The sequence below is a fragment of the Homo sapiens genome, chromosome 13 (genome assembly GCF_000001405.40).
Source record: "Homo sapiens chromosome 13, GRCh38.p14 Primary Assembly".
Lineage (NCBI taxonomy): Eukaryota > Metazoa > Chordata > Mammalia > Primates > Hominidae > Homo > Homo sapiens.
The window spans coordinates 113,972,085-113,991,046 of NC_000013.11; the positions used below are offsets into that span (position 1 = coordinate 113,972,085).

General features: G+C 56.2%; 2 protein-coding genes across 18 annotated transcripts in view, besides 1 other annotated feature; both read right to left on the minus strand.

Moving 5' to 3' along the window:
* C13orf46 (chromosome 13 open reading frame 46) overlaps window positions 1–1,992 on the minus strand; it is a 47,563-nt gene extending 45,571 nt beyond the window's left edge. For all 4 annotated transcript variants that reach the window (XM_047429985.1, NM_001365455.2, XM_006719995.4 and 1 more), the window contains exon 1: window positions 1,724–1,992. In XM_047429985.1, the coding sequence (XP_047285941.1) occupies window positions 1,724–1,913 (190 nt within the window). In that variant the 5' untranslated portion in view covers window positions 1,914–1,992. The remainder of the gene's footprint in view (window positions 1–1,723) is intronic.
* Window positions 1,993–5,698: 3,706 nt separating this feature from the next.
* RASA3 (RAS p21 protein activator 3) overlaps window positions 5,699–18,962 on the minus strand; it is a 154,841-nt gene continuing 141,577 nt past the window's right edge. For all 14 annotated transcript variants that reach the window (XM_047430157.1, NM_007368.4, NM_001320821.2 and 11 more), the window contains 2 exons: window positions 9,591–9,774; window positions 5,699–7,338 (listed from right to left, as the gene is read on the minus strand). In XM_047430157.1, the coding sequence (XP_047286113.1) occupies window positions 7,263–7,338; window positions 9,591–9,774 (260 nt within the window). In that variant the 3' untranslated portion in view covers window positions 5,699–7,262. The remainder of the gene's footprint in view (window positions 7,339–9,590; window positions 9,775–18,962) is intronic.
* Window positions 6,804–7,304: an enhancer, noted in NCBI's record as "H3K4me1 hESC enhancer chr13:114748299-114748799 (GRCh37/hg19 assembly coordinates)". NCBI's record gives its function as "activates a minimal SCP1, AML or CMV promoter by ChIP-STARR-seq in primed H9 embryonic stem cells {active_cell/tissue: H9 hESC(primed)}" and the evidence as "EXISTENCE:reporter gene assay evidence [ECO:0000049][PMID:30033119]".

The window sequence follows — 18,962 nt, forward strand, 5'->3', positions numbered from 1 at the left end:
GTGTTGAGGGAAATGTCAGCCACAATGGGGCTCAATCCCTCCCTCCATCCGACCCCGGCCTCTAAGTCCGCACTGTGGTGGCATCGGGCGGCATTATTGGAGATCCACTCCCCGCCCCAACTTAAATTCCCGCTAAGCAGCCTTGGCGTAACTTATTCTTTTGAGAACTTTGCACGTCTTGAGGGAACCCCGTGGGGAGGGAGGTAGGGTGCAGCCTCCTAACTACTCACGCCCCCCAAATAGCACATATTTGGATTTTTAAACTCAGAGAAGAACACATATTTTTACATCATTACCTCTTAAAATTGTCCCCAGGGCTTGAGCAAGCAAACCCCGAGTCCTACCGGGCTGTCTCACTTCCACGGCCCCGTGGACACCTTTGCGAAGGGGAGGCGGAGCTGCCGAGGCCGCGGGAGGGGAGGGGAGCGCCAGCTCGCAGCTCCGTGTCAGCCCCTCAGCCCTGTGCTCTGGGCCAGTATTCAAGGTGTGAGGAGGTGACTGCAGCACCATCCCCAGGCCCACACCACCGTCCGTTCGGCACACCTGGAAACATCTCAGAGTGGCGAGTGTGGACCGACACAGGGGCAGCCTACACGTTTCGCGGTTTAGAAGCCAACCGTGTCAAACACCAGCTACGCAGGTTCCTTGCTGGTGGGTGAGGCCCAGAGCTCCTGGCAGGGACCCAGGCCCTCACCAGGGCCTTCTTGCAAACGGGGCGCCTGGCTATGATCCTCCCTTCAGGCATCGGCTGGCTTCGGAGGCCCATGAGGGTCCCAGGCCTGCCCTCCTCTCACCCCTCCCGCCCTTGGCTGTGCCCGGCTGGAGCCCCCACAGCTCCGCCCCAGCAGCGCAAGGCCTTCCCAGCAGCCCTGGGTGGGTTACGGGTGTGGACCTGGAGTGCTCCCCACTTCCACCCTTAGCGTTCCGAGCACAGGGCAGCGGGAGGCAGGAGGCCCGGCCCGGTCCCTGCTGCCGGTGGAAGGAAAATGAATCTTGGGCCCTGAATCACTGAGCTAAGGGGAGGAGTAAGGCTGGGAATGTGTCAGACAAACCTGCCTCCCATCCTCTTCCTAAACAAGAGCTGCAGAGATAAACGGCCACAGGCCTCCCTCATCATTCACCCACGAGGAAATTCCTTGTGAGCCTTAAGATCTCTGCCCTAAGCAGTTTTGTGGAGTTTCACGCTGGGAATGCACGTGGACAGCTGACCGTCAACAGGCGCAGGACAGGGACAGAGATCACGGTCCTCCCTCTGCTCACCTGAGACAAGTGTGTCCGACAGCTCCCTCTGGGCTGCTCATGAAAAACCGCAGTCACGGAGCCGGACGAGGATACAAGTGACTCTCCCTCTAGTCCCCTCACGTGTAAATTGTGTGTTCAGTGAAAGGCTGATCGAGACCCAAAGAATGCAGCCCTGTGTCTCCTCTACCTACGACCTGGAAGCCCCTCCTGCTTCAGGCTGTCCCTTTCCGGACAGAACCGACGTACCCCCTCACAGGTGCTGATTGATGCCCCACGCCCCCCTGCAATGTATGACGTCAGGCCGTGCCCCGCCTTGGACACACGTCGTTGGACCTCCTGGGGCTGTCTCGGCGCATCCCTAACCTTGGGAACTTCCTAGAACTTTCTAACTGGGCTGGGCTCTGACGCAGGTACTTTGGGTTCAGTGCCTGGTGGGACAGCCGCGCCGTCCACCCGCTCCCCGCGGCCCCACAGCCCCTACCCAGCTCCTTGTGAGGCTTCCTAGGGCGGCTGGGAGGGTCCCCCTCGGGCTGCAGGCCTCCCAGACTCCTGCTTCGCTGAAGTTCAGAGGCCTCACTGGCCGCCTTGAGGTGCCCAAGGGCCACTCCTGAGGGCAGGGCCCTGAGGCCGGGCCGGTGCCTCCTGTGTGTGGTCCCCGTGTCCTTCTCCATCCTCCAGCCCAGCCTCGGCTTGAGCACAAGGCTGCCACCCTCACACCCAGCCGTCCCGCAGGGAGTAGTCAGGAGGTGCTGGGAGTGCGTTGCCATGGGTCTGCTGTGACATCACTGTAAGGTCAGAGGCCAAAGATCAGCCGATCCCTGGCAGCACAGCGTGGCTTTCCTGCAGGCCGGGGCTGGGGCGGGTTCTGCGTCTTCCCTTCTTCTTTCCCGCAGGCCGGGGCTGGGGCGGGTTCTGCGTCTTCCCTTCTTCTTTCCCGCAGGCCGGGGTTGGGGCGGGTTCTGCGTCTTCCCTTCTTCTTTCCCGCAGGCCGGGGCTGGGGCGGGTTCTGCGTCTTCCCTTCTTCTTTCCCGCAGGCCGGGGTTGGGGCGGGTTCTGCGTCTTCCCTTCTTCTTTCCCGCAGGCCGGGGCTGGGGCGGGTTCTGCGTCTTCCCTTCTTCTTTCCCGCAGGCCGGGGCTGGGGCGGGTTCTGCGTTTTCACATCTCTGGTCTCTCCACCAGGGAGGGCGGGGAACTGGCACCAGCCCTAGCAGGGCCTGCAGATGAGACGCCGGTCTCCCTCTGTGACAGGGTATTTGAATCTTTCTCTCCCTATCAGGGCAAATGGGACACAGATCAACTCAGGAAGACAAAGGCAGCCCCTGCAGGCAGTGGTGGGGTGCAAATGCTGCCGGCCCAGCGCCTCTCCCCACCCACACGGCGCCAGGACGAAACCCTGATGTGGCCGGGGCTCCGGCGAGGGCTTTCCGGGCCGACGGTGTGAACTGCACAGGTCAGCGTGGGTTTGCTGGCACTCCCAGGCAGGCGGCTTAAACAGCGGGAGCTCATTCCCTCCGGTGCTGGGGGCAAGGTGTCTCGCAGCGCTGGTTACCCGAGGCCTCTCTCCTTGGCGCGAAGATGACGTATTCCGTGTCCTCACGTGGTGGTCCTGTGTGCTGCGTCCTCGTCTCCCCTTCTCATGAGGACGCTGGTCACACTGGGTCAGGGCCTCGCTTTACCTTGACAATCTCTACAGCTCCACGCCCAAGTGCAGCCACACCCTGAGGTCCTGAGGGTCACAGGGTCACAGCTCCAGCATGAGGATTTGCCGGGACAGAGTTCAGCCTGTACTGAGCCGAACAGAAAATCCCCGGCACGCTGTCTCCTCCAGCCTCCAGACCACGGTGGGTGGGGAGGCAACATTTTACCTCTTGGGGTTTTTTGGTCGGGCCTGATAATTAAAATCAGCAGATGAGCTGGAGAAAGGCACACGCACTCCAGCACGGTCTGTGTGGCCGGGAATGGCCTTTCCTTCCTGAAAGAGGAGGTAACACCCCACGGGGAAGACGCTCTCCAGAGCCAGAAGAAAGCAGCGTTCTTATCCTTGTGGATGGCTGTTTCAGCTCAAAACAACCCTTACAACAGTGTGGCTTATTTGGGCAGCCCCTTCTGCCCCTTGACAGGCACCTCGCGAGCCGGCGCACCCCCCCGCCCCCAGGACCCGCTTCCCGCACCCGGGGCTCCTCAGCCAGGGGGAAGCAGGTGTGACCCCCAGGCTGCAGGCTCCCCTCCTTCTGATCTCTTCTTTTGAAGAGCCCACAGCCTCTCAGCACCCAGGAGGCCTCAGCTCTCTGGGCAAGTGGTGGGTGCAGGGTGGGGGCCTTGGCCTCACACACGCTCTGGCACTGCCTGGCCTCCTGGGACGGTTCCTCAGAGGCACCTGCTTTGGACACTCTGATGTCGGGAGCCCCGCGGATGCTGCCAGGATGGGAGAGGAGGCCGCTGTCTCTCTCCAACAAGTGCTGGGTCGTCTGGAGCAACAAGGGCAAATGGGCGTCACTGGGGTCTCCACAAAGCCACCTGCAGTCTCTTGGTGGGTGTATTAGACAGTTTCCATGCTGCTGATAAAGACATACCTGAGACTGGGTAATTTATAAAGAAGAGGTTGAATGGATTCAGTTCCACATGGCTGGGGAGGCCCTGCGATCATGGTGGAAGGTGAAAGGCACGTCTTACATGGCAGCAGCAGGAGAGAATGAGACCAAGCAAAAGGAGAAACCCTCATAAAACTTTCACATCGGATCTCGTGGGACTTATACCACGAGAACAGTATGGGGGAACCGCCCCATGATTCAATCACCTCCCACCAAGTCCCACCCACCACACAGATTCAATCACCTCCCACCGGGTCCCGCCCACCACACAGATTCAATCACCTCCCACTGGGTCCCGCCCACCACACAGATTCAATCACCTCCCACCGGGTCCCGCCCACCACACAGATTCAATCACCTCCCACCGGGTCCCGCCCACCACACAGATTCAATCACCTCCCACCGGGTCCCGCCCACAACACAGATTCAATCACCTCCCACCACACAGATTCAATCACCTCCCACCACACAGATTCAATCACCTCCCACCACACAGATTCAATCACCTCCCACCGGGTCCCGCCCACCACACAGATTCAATCACCTCCCACCGGGTCCCGCCCACAACACAGATTCAATCACCTCCCACCACATAGATTCAATCACCTCCCACCACACAGATTCAATCACCTCCCACTGGGTCCCACCCACCACACATGGGAATTATGGGAGCTGCAACTGAAGATGAGGTTTGGGTGGGGACACAGCCAAACCATATCAGTGGAGACGCGCAGGGGCTTCCGGCCCCCATACACTCCCACCTCCCACTGCCCTGTAGGACTCTCCTGGCTGTTCCAGAAGGGGCTTCCATTCTCCACGTTCCCTGGGGCCTCGTCCTCCTTGCCCTTCTACTTCCTCTTGGAGGGGCTGACCTTGGCCCTCCTGGGCTGACCCCAGCACAGCTGTGCCCAGAGTGTGAACGGAGCCCCCTGGCTCCCGACACTGCCTGAGGCCCTGCCGGGAAGTGTGGCTCCAGGAGGACGGGCTGGCCTCCCGGGGAGGATGCCCCCACCTGCAAGGGTTTGTCCACCACCCATAGCCACTCCTGGACTGGGGCAGACCCCACACCTCAGCATGGACTAAGGAGGCCGGCCAGGCTGAACCAAGCCTCACCCTTCCCTGGGAGAAAGGCCTGGGTTGGTGTCCCCAAAGCCACACCTCCTCATTTTTCTCATACCAGAGCTGACTCACAATAGAATTACCAAAAAAGAGGAATTCAAATGGAGCAAGGAAAGGAATAAAGAAATGAGGCAACGTATCATGGAGTCTTCACCCAGAGCCCCCCTTAACCCTCTCCTGCCTGGAGGGACAGCAGCCACCTGCCTAGAGGCGCAGTCCGTTCTCTTCTCCCAGGGCCTCCAAGTGGCCTCCCCCTCTGCATTCCTGGAGATGGCAGCACGTGGTGGTCTGTCTGCCCAGCACTCCTTGAGTGGACACACCTTTCCTGAGGTTATCACAGGGCCGGACTCTCACCTGAGGCACCACAGGTGAATGCCACTGTCAGAGCAGCGCTGCCCATCACCAAAGATGTCAACTGTCACCAGTGATGTCACCTGTCATCAGGGCGGTGCCACCTGTCAGAGCAGCGCTGCCCGTCATGAGGCGTCAACTGTCACCAGCGATGTCACCTGTCACCTGTCAGAGCAGCGCTGCCTGTCACCAGAGATGTCACTTGGCATCAGCAATGTGACCTGTCATCAGGGCAGTGCCACCTGTCAGAGCAGCATCACCCATCACCAGGGACGTCACTTGGCATCAGCAATGTCATCCTGCTCCCCAGGTGCCACCCTCCTCCCTGTACCCCCCACCCCTAATGCCCACATGTGCAATTCCCAGTGGGTACCACTGGAAAACCAAGGCAGTCCTCAGAAAGAATAAAACATCTGTTTTAATTGGCCAGTAAAATACATTGCAAATCATTAGTATTTTATAAACAGAAACATTAAGTTATAAATCCATGTTAAAAATTGCAGCTCAGTGCAGCCCCAACAGCTGTGTGTCCAAAAGTCTATTTTTACAACATTTTCCTCCAGTATTTTTGTGACAAGAAAGTTCCTATCTGCCATCTAGATCAAGAGCCTGAACTACAGTATTTTCAAACAAGAACCGGGAGAAGTCGGTACAAGGATACGTCGTGCTGTGTATTTAAACGGCGCTTCCCACACACCTGCCGTCTGCATCCCGGGAGGACGCCCTTTGGGAAAGGCCTCCTCGGCAGTGTGAGGTCTGGAGGGGTCTGCCTGGACCCCATTTTTAGGATGCTCCCCTCCCCAATAAAACAGCAGCCCCCGCCCCTGCCCTGCACAGCATCTGGGGGTTCATAACACAGGTGCAATACTGACCATGGGCCCTGGAGGGACGTCTGCACCCCGAAGCCCCTGTACCTCAAACTCAGAGTTTCTTCCCTTCTTTGATTTTCTGGAGGACCTGCAGCTGGCCTTCCTGAGACAGGCTCCATTCCTGTTCCATTTGCCTTCCCGGCAGCCTTCCCTTTAGTGGGTATAGGTTTTGACGTTCTGAGTTACTTTGTATCAAAGAGCTAATTAAAAATGGTCCTTCAAAAACATAAAGAAAAACAGCTTGAAAAATGTACATTTCTATTTTTAAAATCTTCAAACTTCCACGGGGGGTGGCAAATGTTAATTCTGATTTTAAACCCCATTCAACAGCAAAACGATGTGGGCTTCAACTGTGGGCTCCGCAGACGCCTGGAGAAGCTGGAGCCCACACCTTTCCCTCCAAGGGACTCTGTGGACAGAACCCGTATCCCCCAAGCACCAAGGACATCCTCAGACTGGGACTTCTGTGTAATTCTGCACCTCCCAGCCATAAAACTGACCCCTCAGCCAGGAATCAAACGAACCTCGAAAGTGGAACAGGGAGGCCGCCTCCCATGGCTGCCTGGATGGCAGGCACAGTGGGAGAGTAATGCTCTGAACCTCCCAATGTGATGAAGCCGAAAGCCGAGGCGGGGCCAGCAGGCCTCCCGGGCACAGAGCCACAGAGCCCAGCGTCACACGCACCGTGCACGCAAGACAGACGTGCACGAGACTGACGCACACACGGCCGGAGGTGCATGTCACAGTCGACTAGACGGGCCGTGGCTCCCTGAGGCTGGCTGTGGTGTGGCTAGGGCACAGCCCACACTTCCTGATCCTTCAGCTGATCCCCAGATCCCCACAAACAAGGAGCAAAAAGCACAGAATCAAATGACGACACGTTCCACAGGGCCAGGTGGGCTTTCTGCGGAGGGCGTGGCGGTGGTGGCAGCGGTTCTGGGAGAGGGAAACCCCAGCGCCACTTGTCTATGGGCCGGGACGGCGTGCATCTCACTTTGCCGGCTCTGCGCTCTTCCTTCTCTTCTCCCTCCCAAAGGCTGCGGCTTTGCATGGGCAGCTTGCTGGCGCCACTGGGCGCGTCCCGCAGACTTTAAATGGAATGAGTGGAGGTCTCGGACTGCTGCCGGATGTAGTTCTGGAAGCTCTTGTCTCCGATGGGGTGCTCCCTGAAAAGGGGGATGGGAGAGGGAATGAGGCACAGACCCCGTTGCCTGGTGCTCACCCGTGGCTGCGGGAGCTTTTCCTGTTCCTAAATGTGACACACTCACACTGCAATCCACACAAAAAATAGAGGAGCCAAAGGAACCACAGTGCCCCCGGAAGCACCCACGGTGACTCTGATGTGTGTGCACAGGTGGGTCAGGCGTGCAAGTACATGTGCACGTGTGCTCTCCCTGTGGCACGTGTGTAGCGCATATACATGTGCAGATGTGGAATATGTAGAGTGTATGGCACGTGTGCAGAATGTGCACATCTGCACTGCAAAGAGTGTGCTCATGTGTGGGGAGCATGAGCTCCAGGGACACAGATCTGTCCCAGTGCTGGGACACTCAGCAGGCGTGGGCACCTCCTCCCCACATGCACACCTCCCTCATACCATGTGTGTGCACCTCCTGCCATGTGTGTCCACTACCTCCATGTGTGTGCACCTCCTCCTACGTGCCTACCACCTCCATGTGTGCATCTCCTCCCACGTGTGTGCACCTCCTTCCACGTGTACCTCCTCCCATGTGTGTGCACCCCTCCGTGTGTACACCTCCCACGTGTGCACCTGTGTGTGCACCTCTGTGTGCCTCCTGTGTGCACCTCCTCCCATGTGTGTGCACCACCTCCCACGTGTGTGCACCCCTCTCGCATGTGTGCACCTCCTCTGTGTGTACCTCCTGCCACGTGTGTGCACACCTCCTCCCACGTGTGTGCACCTCCTCCCACGTGTGTGCACCACCTCCTCCCATGTGTGTGCACCTCCTGCTGTGTGCGCCTCCTCCATGTGTGCCTTCTCCCACATGTGCGCACCTCCTCCCACGTGTGCACCTTCTGCCATGTATGTGCACCTCCTCCGTCTGTGCCTTCTCCCACATGTGTGCACCTCCTGCCATGTGTGTGCGCCTCCTCCGTGTGTGTGCCTCCTCCCACGTGTGCACCACCTCCTCCCACGTGTTCACCTCCTCCGTGTGTGCACCTCCTGCCATGTGTGTGCACCTCCACCCATGTGTGTGCACCTCCTGCCATGTGTGTGCATCTTGTACCATGTGTGCCTCGTGTGCGCCTTCTACTACAACAAACAGCATCATGCTTCGCGCATTTTCAACCTGCTGGCTTTTGGCCATGAGGTTGATGGACCTGCTGATATCAACGAGGCAACATATTTGGAAGGCAAATGGGGCTGTCTCCCCAGAAGGGTGTCGAGAGGGATCTGATATGATGATGTCAGAGGTGAAGTCACAGCACTCAGGAGGTGTTGCAGGCTCAGTCCCCTGAGCAACTCGGTCCAAGTCCGGGCCACAGGGACCTGTCACTCTCCTGGAGCCTCACCACTGCCCTTCCCAGACCAGACCCGCATGGTGGAAGGAAGGAGGGGTTAAGAAGGAAGGAAGGGAAGGAGGGAGAAGAAGGGTGGAGGAGGAGAGAGGGAGGATCGAAGGGAGGGAGGACCAAAGAGAGGAGTGAGCAGGAGGATGGAAGTGAGGAGGAGGCTGTACAGCTACACAGGGCTCTAGGGCTTACCCGCCCCTGAATGAGCCCGTGTGGGGGCTTCTGCCATGGTGGACCTGGGTACCCACTGGATGGAGAGAGTGACACAGACACATCTGCTCACTCCAGGCTAAGAGCCAGCCTAGCACTTTACATAGTTTAAGTCAATCTTCCAGCAACTCATGAGGGTCTTACAACCCTCTGTTCCATGGAGTGAGGGGGAGTGGAGCTTAGCTAAGCGCCACCTAGCCTGCAGCTGGTGACTAAGCTGAACGTACTCAACCTCGCCACACCTGCCTCATGAGACAAGAGTGGGTTTCGTCCAGAGCTGGCCCTGCTCCCGGGCACCATGGGTGGCCTGGAGAGATGCCAGAGGGTGTGCCACTGAACCAAGGCAGAACAAGACCTGGGCCTAGAGACTGCCAGAGCACGTGACACCAGTATAGCAGAGAGGCTGGGAGGAAGCAGGTCAGGGAGGCAGCCCGGACGCTGGCTGGGGGCCTGGAGAGCAAAGGCAGCACCTGCTCTGAAGGAGGGACCAGCAGCGCCGGGCCACGTCCACTGACTACCGCCAGGTGCCAGCCCGGTGCAAGTGGGACTCTCCTCCCAGGCGGACACCTGAGCACGGGCGGCCCCACCCGGGAGCTCCCTGCAGCCCCACCCCCACTGCAATCTCCCGCCCACTACACTGGCCGTCCAGGGCAGGCACGGGAGTGGCACTCACTGGCTTCCATATTTCGTCTTCTTGAACTTGTCCCTCTTATACTGGGCGTGCTCCTGCTCCAAAGCCCCAACCCCAGCGATGACTTGCTTTAGCGTCTTGTAGGTCTCCTGGGGGTCGTCAATGACGAACGTCGAATACTCCTCCTGCTCCGGGCCGTCATACACAGATTTGCTCCCACAGGCCTCTGTGGAGGGCGGAGGGGTCAGCGCAGGGCAGGAGCCCAGGCCACCGGCCCCGTCTCCACACAGCTGCGTCGCTGCAGGCCCCACCCACAGTACACATCCTTCCAACGCAAGCTCCTCCAGAAAGGGCTGACCACCACTCGTAAACGCAGACGGAGATAGAAACCATTCCCGCAGGTAGGCGAGTTGTGCCCACACTGAGCCCAGGGAAAGCCCATTGGGAGCTGGATGCTGAGCAACCTCATTCACCTCTGAGGGCTCTGCTGCCCCTAGCTCCCAGCCTTGTCACCAATCAGCCATTCTCACAGGGGGATGTGCACATCTCTGCACGCCCCACCAGCCCGCCCAGCCAGAACCAGGAGGAGAGACACCTGCAGCTGGACGCTGGGCTGGCTCATGGGCCCTGGGGCAGCCCTGAAGAGTCAGCTGAGGGAGTGAGCACGATGGGGTTCAGCACATTTCACACCCAGCTGCCACTGAGCATGTCCAGCCAGGACAGGCCTAGCCCAGGGCTGGCCGAGCACAGGGCGGACACCAGTCTGTGCCGCAGCTTCTAAAGACCACTGCCCCGGACCCCACCTACGCACCGGGGCCACCTTCCTAATCGGACCACATCACTCCTGCTGAAGGCCATTCTGGTGCCTCGCCCCTAGCGGACAGCCATGGAACCCTTGAGCCAGGGCAGGGCCCTGTGCCACCTGAGTCCAAACACCTGAACCAGGTACACGTCTCTGCCTCACTGCTCACAGCGCCTGGGCACGCACTCCCGGAGCCAGCACCGATGCCCTGCAGCTGTGTCCATCTGGATGGAATGAATGTTTGTGCCCCCAAATCTGTGGGTTGAAATCCTAACTCTCAAGGGATGGCATCAGGAGATGAGGCCTTTGGGAGGTGACAAGGCGTGAGGGTGGAACCCTTGTGCAGGGGATGGGCGTCCCTATAGAAGACACCAAGGAAGCTGGCTTGCCTCTTCCACATGTGAGGACACAATGAGACACTGGCGGGCTGCAGCCCAGAAGAGGACCCGCAGTTAAACCAGCACTGCTACGCCCGGATCTCAAGCTTCTCAGGCCTTCAATCTGGGAAGTGAATTCCTGCTGTCTGTAACCACCCAGCCTATGGTACAATTTTTACGGCAGCCCAAACTCACCAAGAACTTGGTACTGAGAAGTGGCTGCTGCTGTACCTTCAAATGTGGACTGGCTTTGGAACTGGGTGCTGGGCGAAGGCTGAAGGGGTTTGGGGGTGCAGAGCGGAAAAGGCATGGCTGCCATGAATGTCCTTAAAGGACAATGCTGGGGGCTCGGGAGAGGAGAGCTGCAGAGAAGTCCTGTCTTAGGGGATATCTAAGTAACCCTGAACAGAATGGTGGCATGAGCATGGGTGGCAAGGCTGTTCTAACAACATCTCAGACAGAAAGGACGGCCATGCTACTGGACCGTGGAGAAAAAGCCATCCTCGTGACAAAGTGGACCTGTGTTCATGCCCTCGTGTTCTGGGAGGGTGGAACTCGCGAGTGATGACATCAGACACGTAATTGAGGAGATTTCTAAGCAAAATGCTGTGGGAGCGGCTTGGTTCCTCCTGACCGCTGACAGCAAAATGTGGGGAGAGAGATGATTTGAAGGTGGAATTGTTGAGCAAAAAGGAACCAGAACTCAAAGGCTGGTTGAGTTAAAAGATTTGAGAATTAAAATTCCAGCCTACCCATATCTCAAAAAAAATGAGACAGCATGTTTGGAAGAGACCATTAAGCAGGTGGCTGTGTGGCTATCTGATAAGGAGACAAGTGTGGGGCTGAGCCTTGGACTTGACCAACCATCTCAGCAACAGCCGGGAGCAGAGAAGGAACCGCACCAGCAGAGGCACTGCCAGAAGAAACCAGGAAACAGAGAAAACAGGATGAAATGAAGGCAGGCTGCGGTGTCTTAAGCCCTACAAGCCAGGCCATAGAGCTATTCAGCTGTGAACATGTGCCATTCTTCAAGACGAGGGAAGAAGGACCCTGAAGCGGGTAGGGCCATCAGAATGCCACTCTCACCCAGAATGAGTCCATGGACCATGTATCAGATGCAAAATTCTCAGCTGGAATATTGATTAAAAAATAAAACTGGCAATAACTAGAAAAAAAATCGCAATAAGGAATCTGTCCACCCAGCCATCACTCACCCATCCGTCCATCCACCCATCTGTCCATCTACCCATTACTCACCCATCCATCCCTCCACCCATCACTCACCCATCCATCCATCCACCCATGACTCACCCATCTGTCGATCCACCCATCATCACTCACTCCTCGGTCCATCCACCCATCACTCACCCCTCAGTCCATCCATCACTCACCCATCTGTCCATCCATCACTCACCCATCTGTCCATCCATCCATTACTCACCCATCTGTCCATCCACCCATCACTCATCCCTCGGTCCATCCACCCATCACTCACCCTATCCATCCACCCATCACTCACCCATCCGTCCACCTACCCATCACTCACCCATCCGTCCACCCATTCATCACTCACCCATCTGTCAATCCACCCATCACTCACCCCTTTGTCCATGAACTCAACACTCATCCATCTGTCCATCCACCCATCACTCACCCATCCGTCCATCCACCCATCACTCACCCATCCGTCCATCCACCCATTACTCACCCATCCATCCATCCACCCATCACTCACCCACCCATCCATCCATCCACCCATCACTCACCCTTTGGTCCATGAACCTAACACTCACCCATCTGTCCATCCACCTATCACTCACCCATCCATCCATCCACCATCACTCACCCATCCTTCCATCCACCCATCACTCATCCATCTGTCTATCCACCCATCACTCACCCTGTCCATCCATCCATCACTCACCCATCTGTCCATCCACCCATTACTCACCCATCCATCCATCCACCCATCACTGACCCACCCATCCATCCATCCACCCATCACTCACCCTTTGGTCCATGAACCTAACACTCACCCATCTGCCCATCCACCCATCACTCAACCATCTGTTAATCCACCCATCACTCGTCCATTGCTCCATCCACCCATCAGTCACCCATTGGTCCATCTGAATTCCTGCTGTCTGTAACCACCCAGCCTATGGTACAATTTTTACGGCAGCCCAAACTCACCAAGAACTTGGTACTGAGAAGTGGCTGCTGCTGTACCTTCAAATGTGGACTGGCTTTGGAACTGGGTGCTGGGCGAAGGCTGAAGGGGTTTGGGGGTGCAGAGCGGAAAAGGCATGGCTGCCATGAATGTCCTTAAAGGACAATGCTGGGGGCTCGGGAGAGGAGAGCTGCAGAGAAGTCCTGTCTTAGGGGATATCTAAGTAACCCTGAACAGAATGGTGGCATGAGCATGGGTGGCAAGGCTGTTCTAACAACATCTCAGACAGAAAGGACGGCCATGCTACTGGACCGTGGAGAAAAAGCCATCCTCGTGACAAAGTGGACCTGTGTTCATGCCCTCGTGTTCTGGGAGGGTGGAACTCGCGAGTGATGACATCAGACACGCAATTGAGGAGATTTCTAAGCAAAATGCTGTGGGAGCGGCTTGGTTCCTCCTGACCGCTGACAGCAAAATGGGGGAAGAGAGATGATTTGAAGGTGGAATTGTTGAGCAAAAAGGAACCAGAACTCAAAGGCTGGTTGAGTTAAAAGATTTGAGAATTAAAATTCCAGCCTACCCATATCTCAAAAAAAATGAGACAGCATGTTTGGAAGAGACCATTAAGCAGGTGGCTGTGTGGCTATCTGATAAGGAGACAAGTGTGGGGCTGAGCCTTGGACTTGACCAACCATCTCAGCAACAGCCGGGAGCAGAGAAGGAACCGCACCAGCAGAGGCACTGCCAGAAGAAACCAGGAAACAGAGAAAACAGGATGAAATGAAGGCAGGCTGCGGTGTCTTAAGCCCTACAAGCCAGGCCATAGAGCTATTCAGCTGTGAACATGTGCCATTCTTCAAGACGAGGGAAGAAGGACCCTGAAGTGGGTAGGGCCATCAGAATGCCACTCTCACCCAGAATGAGTCCATGGACCATGTATCAGATGCAAAATTCTCAGCTGGAATATTGATTAAAAAATAAAACTGGCAATAACTAGAAAAAAAATCGCAATAAGGAATCTGTCCACCCAGCCATCACTCACCCATCCGTCCATCCACCCATCTGTCCATCTACCCATTACTCACCCATCCATCCCTCCACCCATCACTCACCCATCCATCCATCCACCCATGACTCACCCATCTGTCGATCCACCCATCATCACTCACTCCTCGGTCCATCCACCCATCACTCACCCCTCAGTCCATCCATCACTCACCCATCTGTCCATCCATCACTCACCCATCTGTCCATCCATCCATTACTCACCCATCTGTCCATCCACCCATCACTCACCCATCCGTCCACCCATTCATCACTCACCCATCTGTCAATCCACCCATCACTCACCCCTTTGTCCATGAACTCAACACTCATCCATCTGTCCATCCACCCATCACTCACCCATCCGTCCATCCACCCATCACTCACCCATCCGTCCATCCACCCATTACTCACCCATCCATCCATCCACCCATCACTGACCCACCCATCCATCCATCCACCCATCACTCACCCTTTGGTCCATGAACCTAACACTCACCCATCTGCCCATCCACCCATCACTCAACCATCTGTTAATCCACCCATCACTCGTCCATTGCTCCAGTCCACCGATCACTCACCCATCTGTCCATCACCATCACTCACCCATCTGTCCATCCACCCATCACTCAACCCTCGGTCCATCCTCTCATCACTCACCCTGTCCTCCACCCATCACTCACCCATCTGTTCATCCACCCATCACTCACCCATCCTTCCATCCACCCATCTCTCACCCATCTGTCCATCCACCCATCACTCACCCATCCGTCCATCCACCATCACTCACCCATCCTTCCATCCACCCATCACTCATCCATCTGTCTATCCACCCATCACTCACCCCAGTCCATCCTCTCATCACTCACCCTGTCCATCCATCCATCACTCACCCATCTGTCCATCCGAATTCCTGCTGTCTGTAACCACCCAGCCTATGGTACAATTTTTACGGCAGCCCAAACTCACCAAGAACTTGGTACTGAGAAGTGGCTGCTGCTGTACCTTCAAATGTGGACTGGCTTTGGAACTGGGTGCTGGGCGAAGGCTGAAGGGGTTTGGGGGTGCAGAGCGGAAAAGGCATGGCTGCCATGAATGTCCTTAAAGGACAATGCTGGGGGCTCGGGAGAGGAGAGCTGCAGAGAAGTCCTGTCTTAGGGGATATCTAAGTAACCCTGAACAGAATGGTGGCATGAGCATGGGTGGCAAGGCTGTTCTAACAACATCTCAGACAGAAAGGACGGCCATGCTACTGGACCGTGGAGAAAAAGCCATCCTCGTGACAAAGTGGACCTGTGTTCATGCCCTCGTGTTCTGGGAGGGTGGAACTCGCGAGTGATGACATCAGACACGCAATTGAGGAGATTTCTAAGCAAAATGCTGTGGGAGCGGCTTGGTTCCTCCTGACCGCTGACAGCAAAATGGGGGAAGAGAGATGATTTGAAGGTGGAATTGTTGAGCAAAAAGGAACCAGAACTCAAAGGCTGGTTGAGTTAAAAGATTTGAGAATTAAAATTCCAGCCTACCCATATCTCAAAAAAAATGAGACAGCATGTTTGGAAGAGACCATTAAGCAGGTGGCTGTGTGGCTATCTGATAAGGAGACAAGTGTGGGGCTGAGCCTTGGACTTGACCAACCATCTCAGCAACAGCCGGGAGCAGAGAAGGAACCGCACCAGCAGAGGCACTGCCAGAAGAAACCAGGAAACAGAGAAAACAGGATGAAATGAAGGCAGGCTGCGGTGTCTTAAGCCCTACAAGCCAGGCCATAGAGCTATTCAGCTGTGAACATGTGCCATTCTTCAAGACGAGGGAAGAAGGACCCTGAAGTGGGTAGGGCCATCAGAATGCCACTCTCACCCAGAATGAGTCCATGGACCATGTATCAGATGCAAAATTCTCAGCTGGAATATTGATTAAAAAATAAAACTGGCAATAACTAGAAAAAAAATCGCAATAAGGAATCTGTCCACCCAGCCATCACTCACCCATCCGTCCATCCACCCATCTGTCCATCTACCCATTACTCACCCATCCATCCCTCCACCCATCACTCACCCATCCATCCATCCACCCATGACTCACCCATCTGTCGATCCACCCATCATCACTCACTCCTCGGTCCATCCACCCATCACTCACCCCTCAGTCCATCCATCACTCACCCATCTGTCCATCCATCACTCACCCATCTGTCCATCCATCCATTACTCACCCATCTGTCCATCCACCCATCACTCACCCATCCGTCCACCCATTCATCACTCACCCATCTGTCAATCCACCCATCACTCACCCCTTTGTCCATGAACTCAACACTCATCCATCTGTCCATCCACCCATCACTCACCCATCCGTCCATCCACCCATCACTCACCCATCCGTCCATCCACCCATTACTCACCCATCCATCCATCCACCCATCACTCACCCACCCATCCATCCATCCACCCATCACTCACCCTTTGGTCCATGAACCTAACACTCACCCATCTGTCCATCCACCTATCACTCACCCATCCATCCATCCACCATCACTCACCCATCCTTCCATCCACCCATCACTCATCCATCTGTCTATCCACCCATCACTCACCCCAGTCCATCCTCTCATCACTCACCCTGTCCATCCATCCATCACTCACCCATCTGTCCATCCACCCATTACTCACCCATCCATCCATCCACCCATCACTGACCCACCCATCCATCCATCCACCCATCACTCACCCTTTGGTCCATGAACCTAACACTCACCCATCTGCCCATCCACCCATCACTCAACCATCTGTTAATCCACCCATCACTCGTCCATTGCTCCATCCACCCATCAGTCACCCATTGGTCCATCTGCCCATCACTCACCCATCTGTCCATCCACCCATCACTCGCCCATCTGTCCATCCACCCATCACTCACCCTGTCCGTACACCCATCACTCACCCTGTCCGTACACCCATCACTCACCCATCGGCCCATCCACCCATCACTCACCCATCTGTCAGTCCACCCATCACTCACCCATCTGTCCATCACCATCACTCACCCATCTGTCAGTCCACCGATCACTCACCCATCTGTCCATCACCATCACTCACCCATCTGTCCATCCACCCATCACTCAACCCTCGGTCCATCCTCTCATCACTCACCCTGTCCTCCACCCATCACTCACCCATCTGTTCATCCACCCATCTACCCATCCATCCATCCACCCATCTCTCACCCATCTGTCCATCCACCCATCACTCACCCATCCGTCCATCCACCCATTACTCACCCATCTGTTCATCCACCCATCACTCACCCATCCTTCCATCCACCCATCTCTCACCATCTGTCCATCCACCCATCACTCACCCATCCGTCCATCCATCACTCACCCATCCTTCCATCCACCCATCTCTCACCCATCCGTCCATCCACCCGTCACTCACCCATCTGTCCATCCACCATCACTCACCCATGCTTCCATCCACCCATCACTCACCCATCCGTCCATCCACCATCACTCACCCATCCTTCCATCCACCCATCACTCATCCATCTATCCACCCATCACTCACCCCAGTCCATCCTCTCATCACTCACCCTGTCCATCCATCCATCACTCACCCATCTGTCCATCCACCCATCTACCCATCCATCCATCCATCCACCCGTCACTCACCCATCCTTCCATCCACCCATCTCTCACCCAACCGTCCATCCACCCATCTACCCACCCACTCAGCTGCCTGCCCCGCCATCTGTCCAGCACACCCATCCAGGTGCTAGGCACTTCCTCTGTGCCAGGCCCAGGAAGGTCACTGCATATGGAAGCTGAGGAGATGGGAGATGGTTGTGACTTTGGTGACACAGGTGAGCCCAGGTGATGTGGTTTGGATTTGTGTCCCCACCCAAATCTCAGGTCAGACTGTAATCCCTAGTGTTGGAGGAGGGGCCTGGAGGAAGGAGAGGGGATCATGGGGACAGACTTCCCCATTGCTGTTCTCGTGATAGTGAGTTCTCACGAGGTCTGGTTGTTTGGACGTGTGTGGCATCTACCCCCATCTCTCTCTCTTGCTCCTGCATGTAGGAGGTGCCTCCTTCCTTCCTCTTTGCCCTCCCACCATGATCGAAAGTTTCCTGAGGCCTCCCCAACCATGCTTCCTGTACAGCCTGCAGAACTGTGAGTCAATCAATCTTCTTTTCTTTATAGCAACATGAGAACTAATACACCAGGCTATGGGGATGGTGAGGTTGGGAAGCGCCTGGAGGAAGACACTTCCAAGGTAAACAGGGTCTGCCAGCCTGATGCGCAAGGGTGTTCCCAGCAGAGGAAGAGCTGGAGCTGTGATGCGGGGCGCACGGCCTAGGAGGAGCTGAGCAAGGTTGGACAGTGGTGCAGGGAGCAAGCTGATCATGGAGGGCCTGGTCAGCATCTTTCAGAACCTGGGTCTTGTGTGTGATGACCTCACCCTCTCCGAGGCTCCCTGACTCTGGCCTCTGCTGTGTCGGTTCCTGCTATGAGAGGGCTGGGAAGAGGCTGGCTGATGCCAGACCCACTGTCTTGGCCACCCTGAGGCCTTGTGCCATCTTCACAGTATCCAGGGACCTCAGACCCAGGGACAGCACCTCGCACACTTGCTGGGGGAGAAGACGCTGTGGTGGGTGGTGGCCCATGAGTGTGTACATGTGTGGTTGTCTGCACATGTGTGTGCATGCCTGCACATGGGCCTGCACATGTGAGCGTGTTGTGTTCAACTGCACATGTGTGCAGGTATTGTTGCCTTGCCTGTCTGCACACACATGTACCTGTATGTTCATTTCACACATGTATTGCTGGGAACATGTGTGTACATGGCTATGCATACATGTGTATGTGCCTGTGTGTTAGTGTAGGCCTGGAACCCACGTACACCCAGGGCATGTGGGGCTGGAGAACAGGCGTGGCCAAGCTCACAGATGGGCAGCTGCACGGACACCCAGGGCATGTGGGGCTGGAGATCAGGCGTGGCCAAGCTCACAGATGGGCAGCT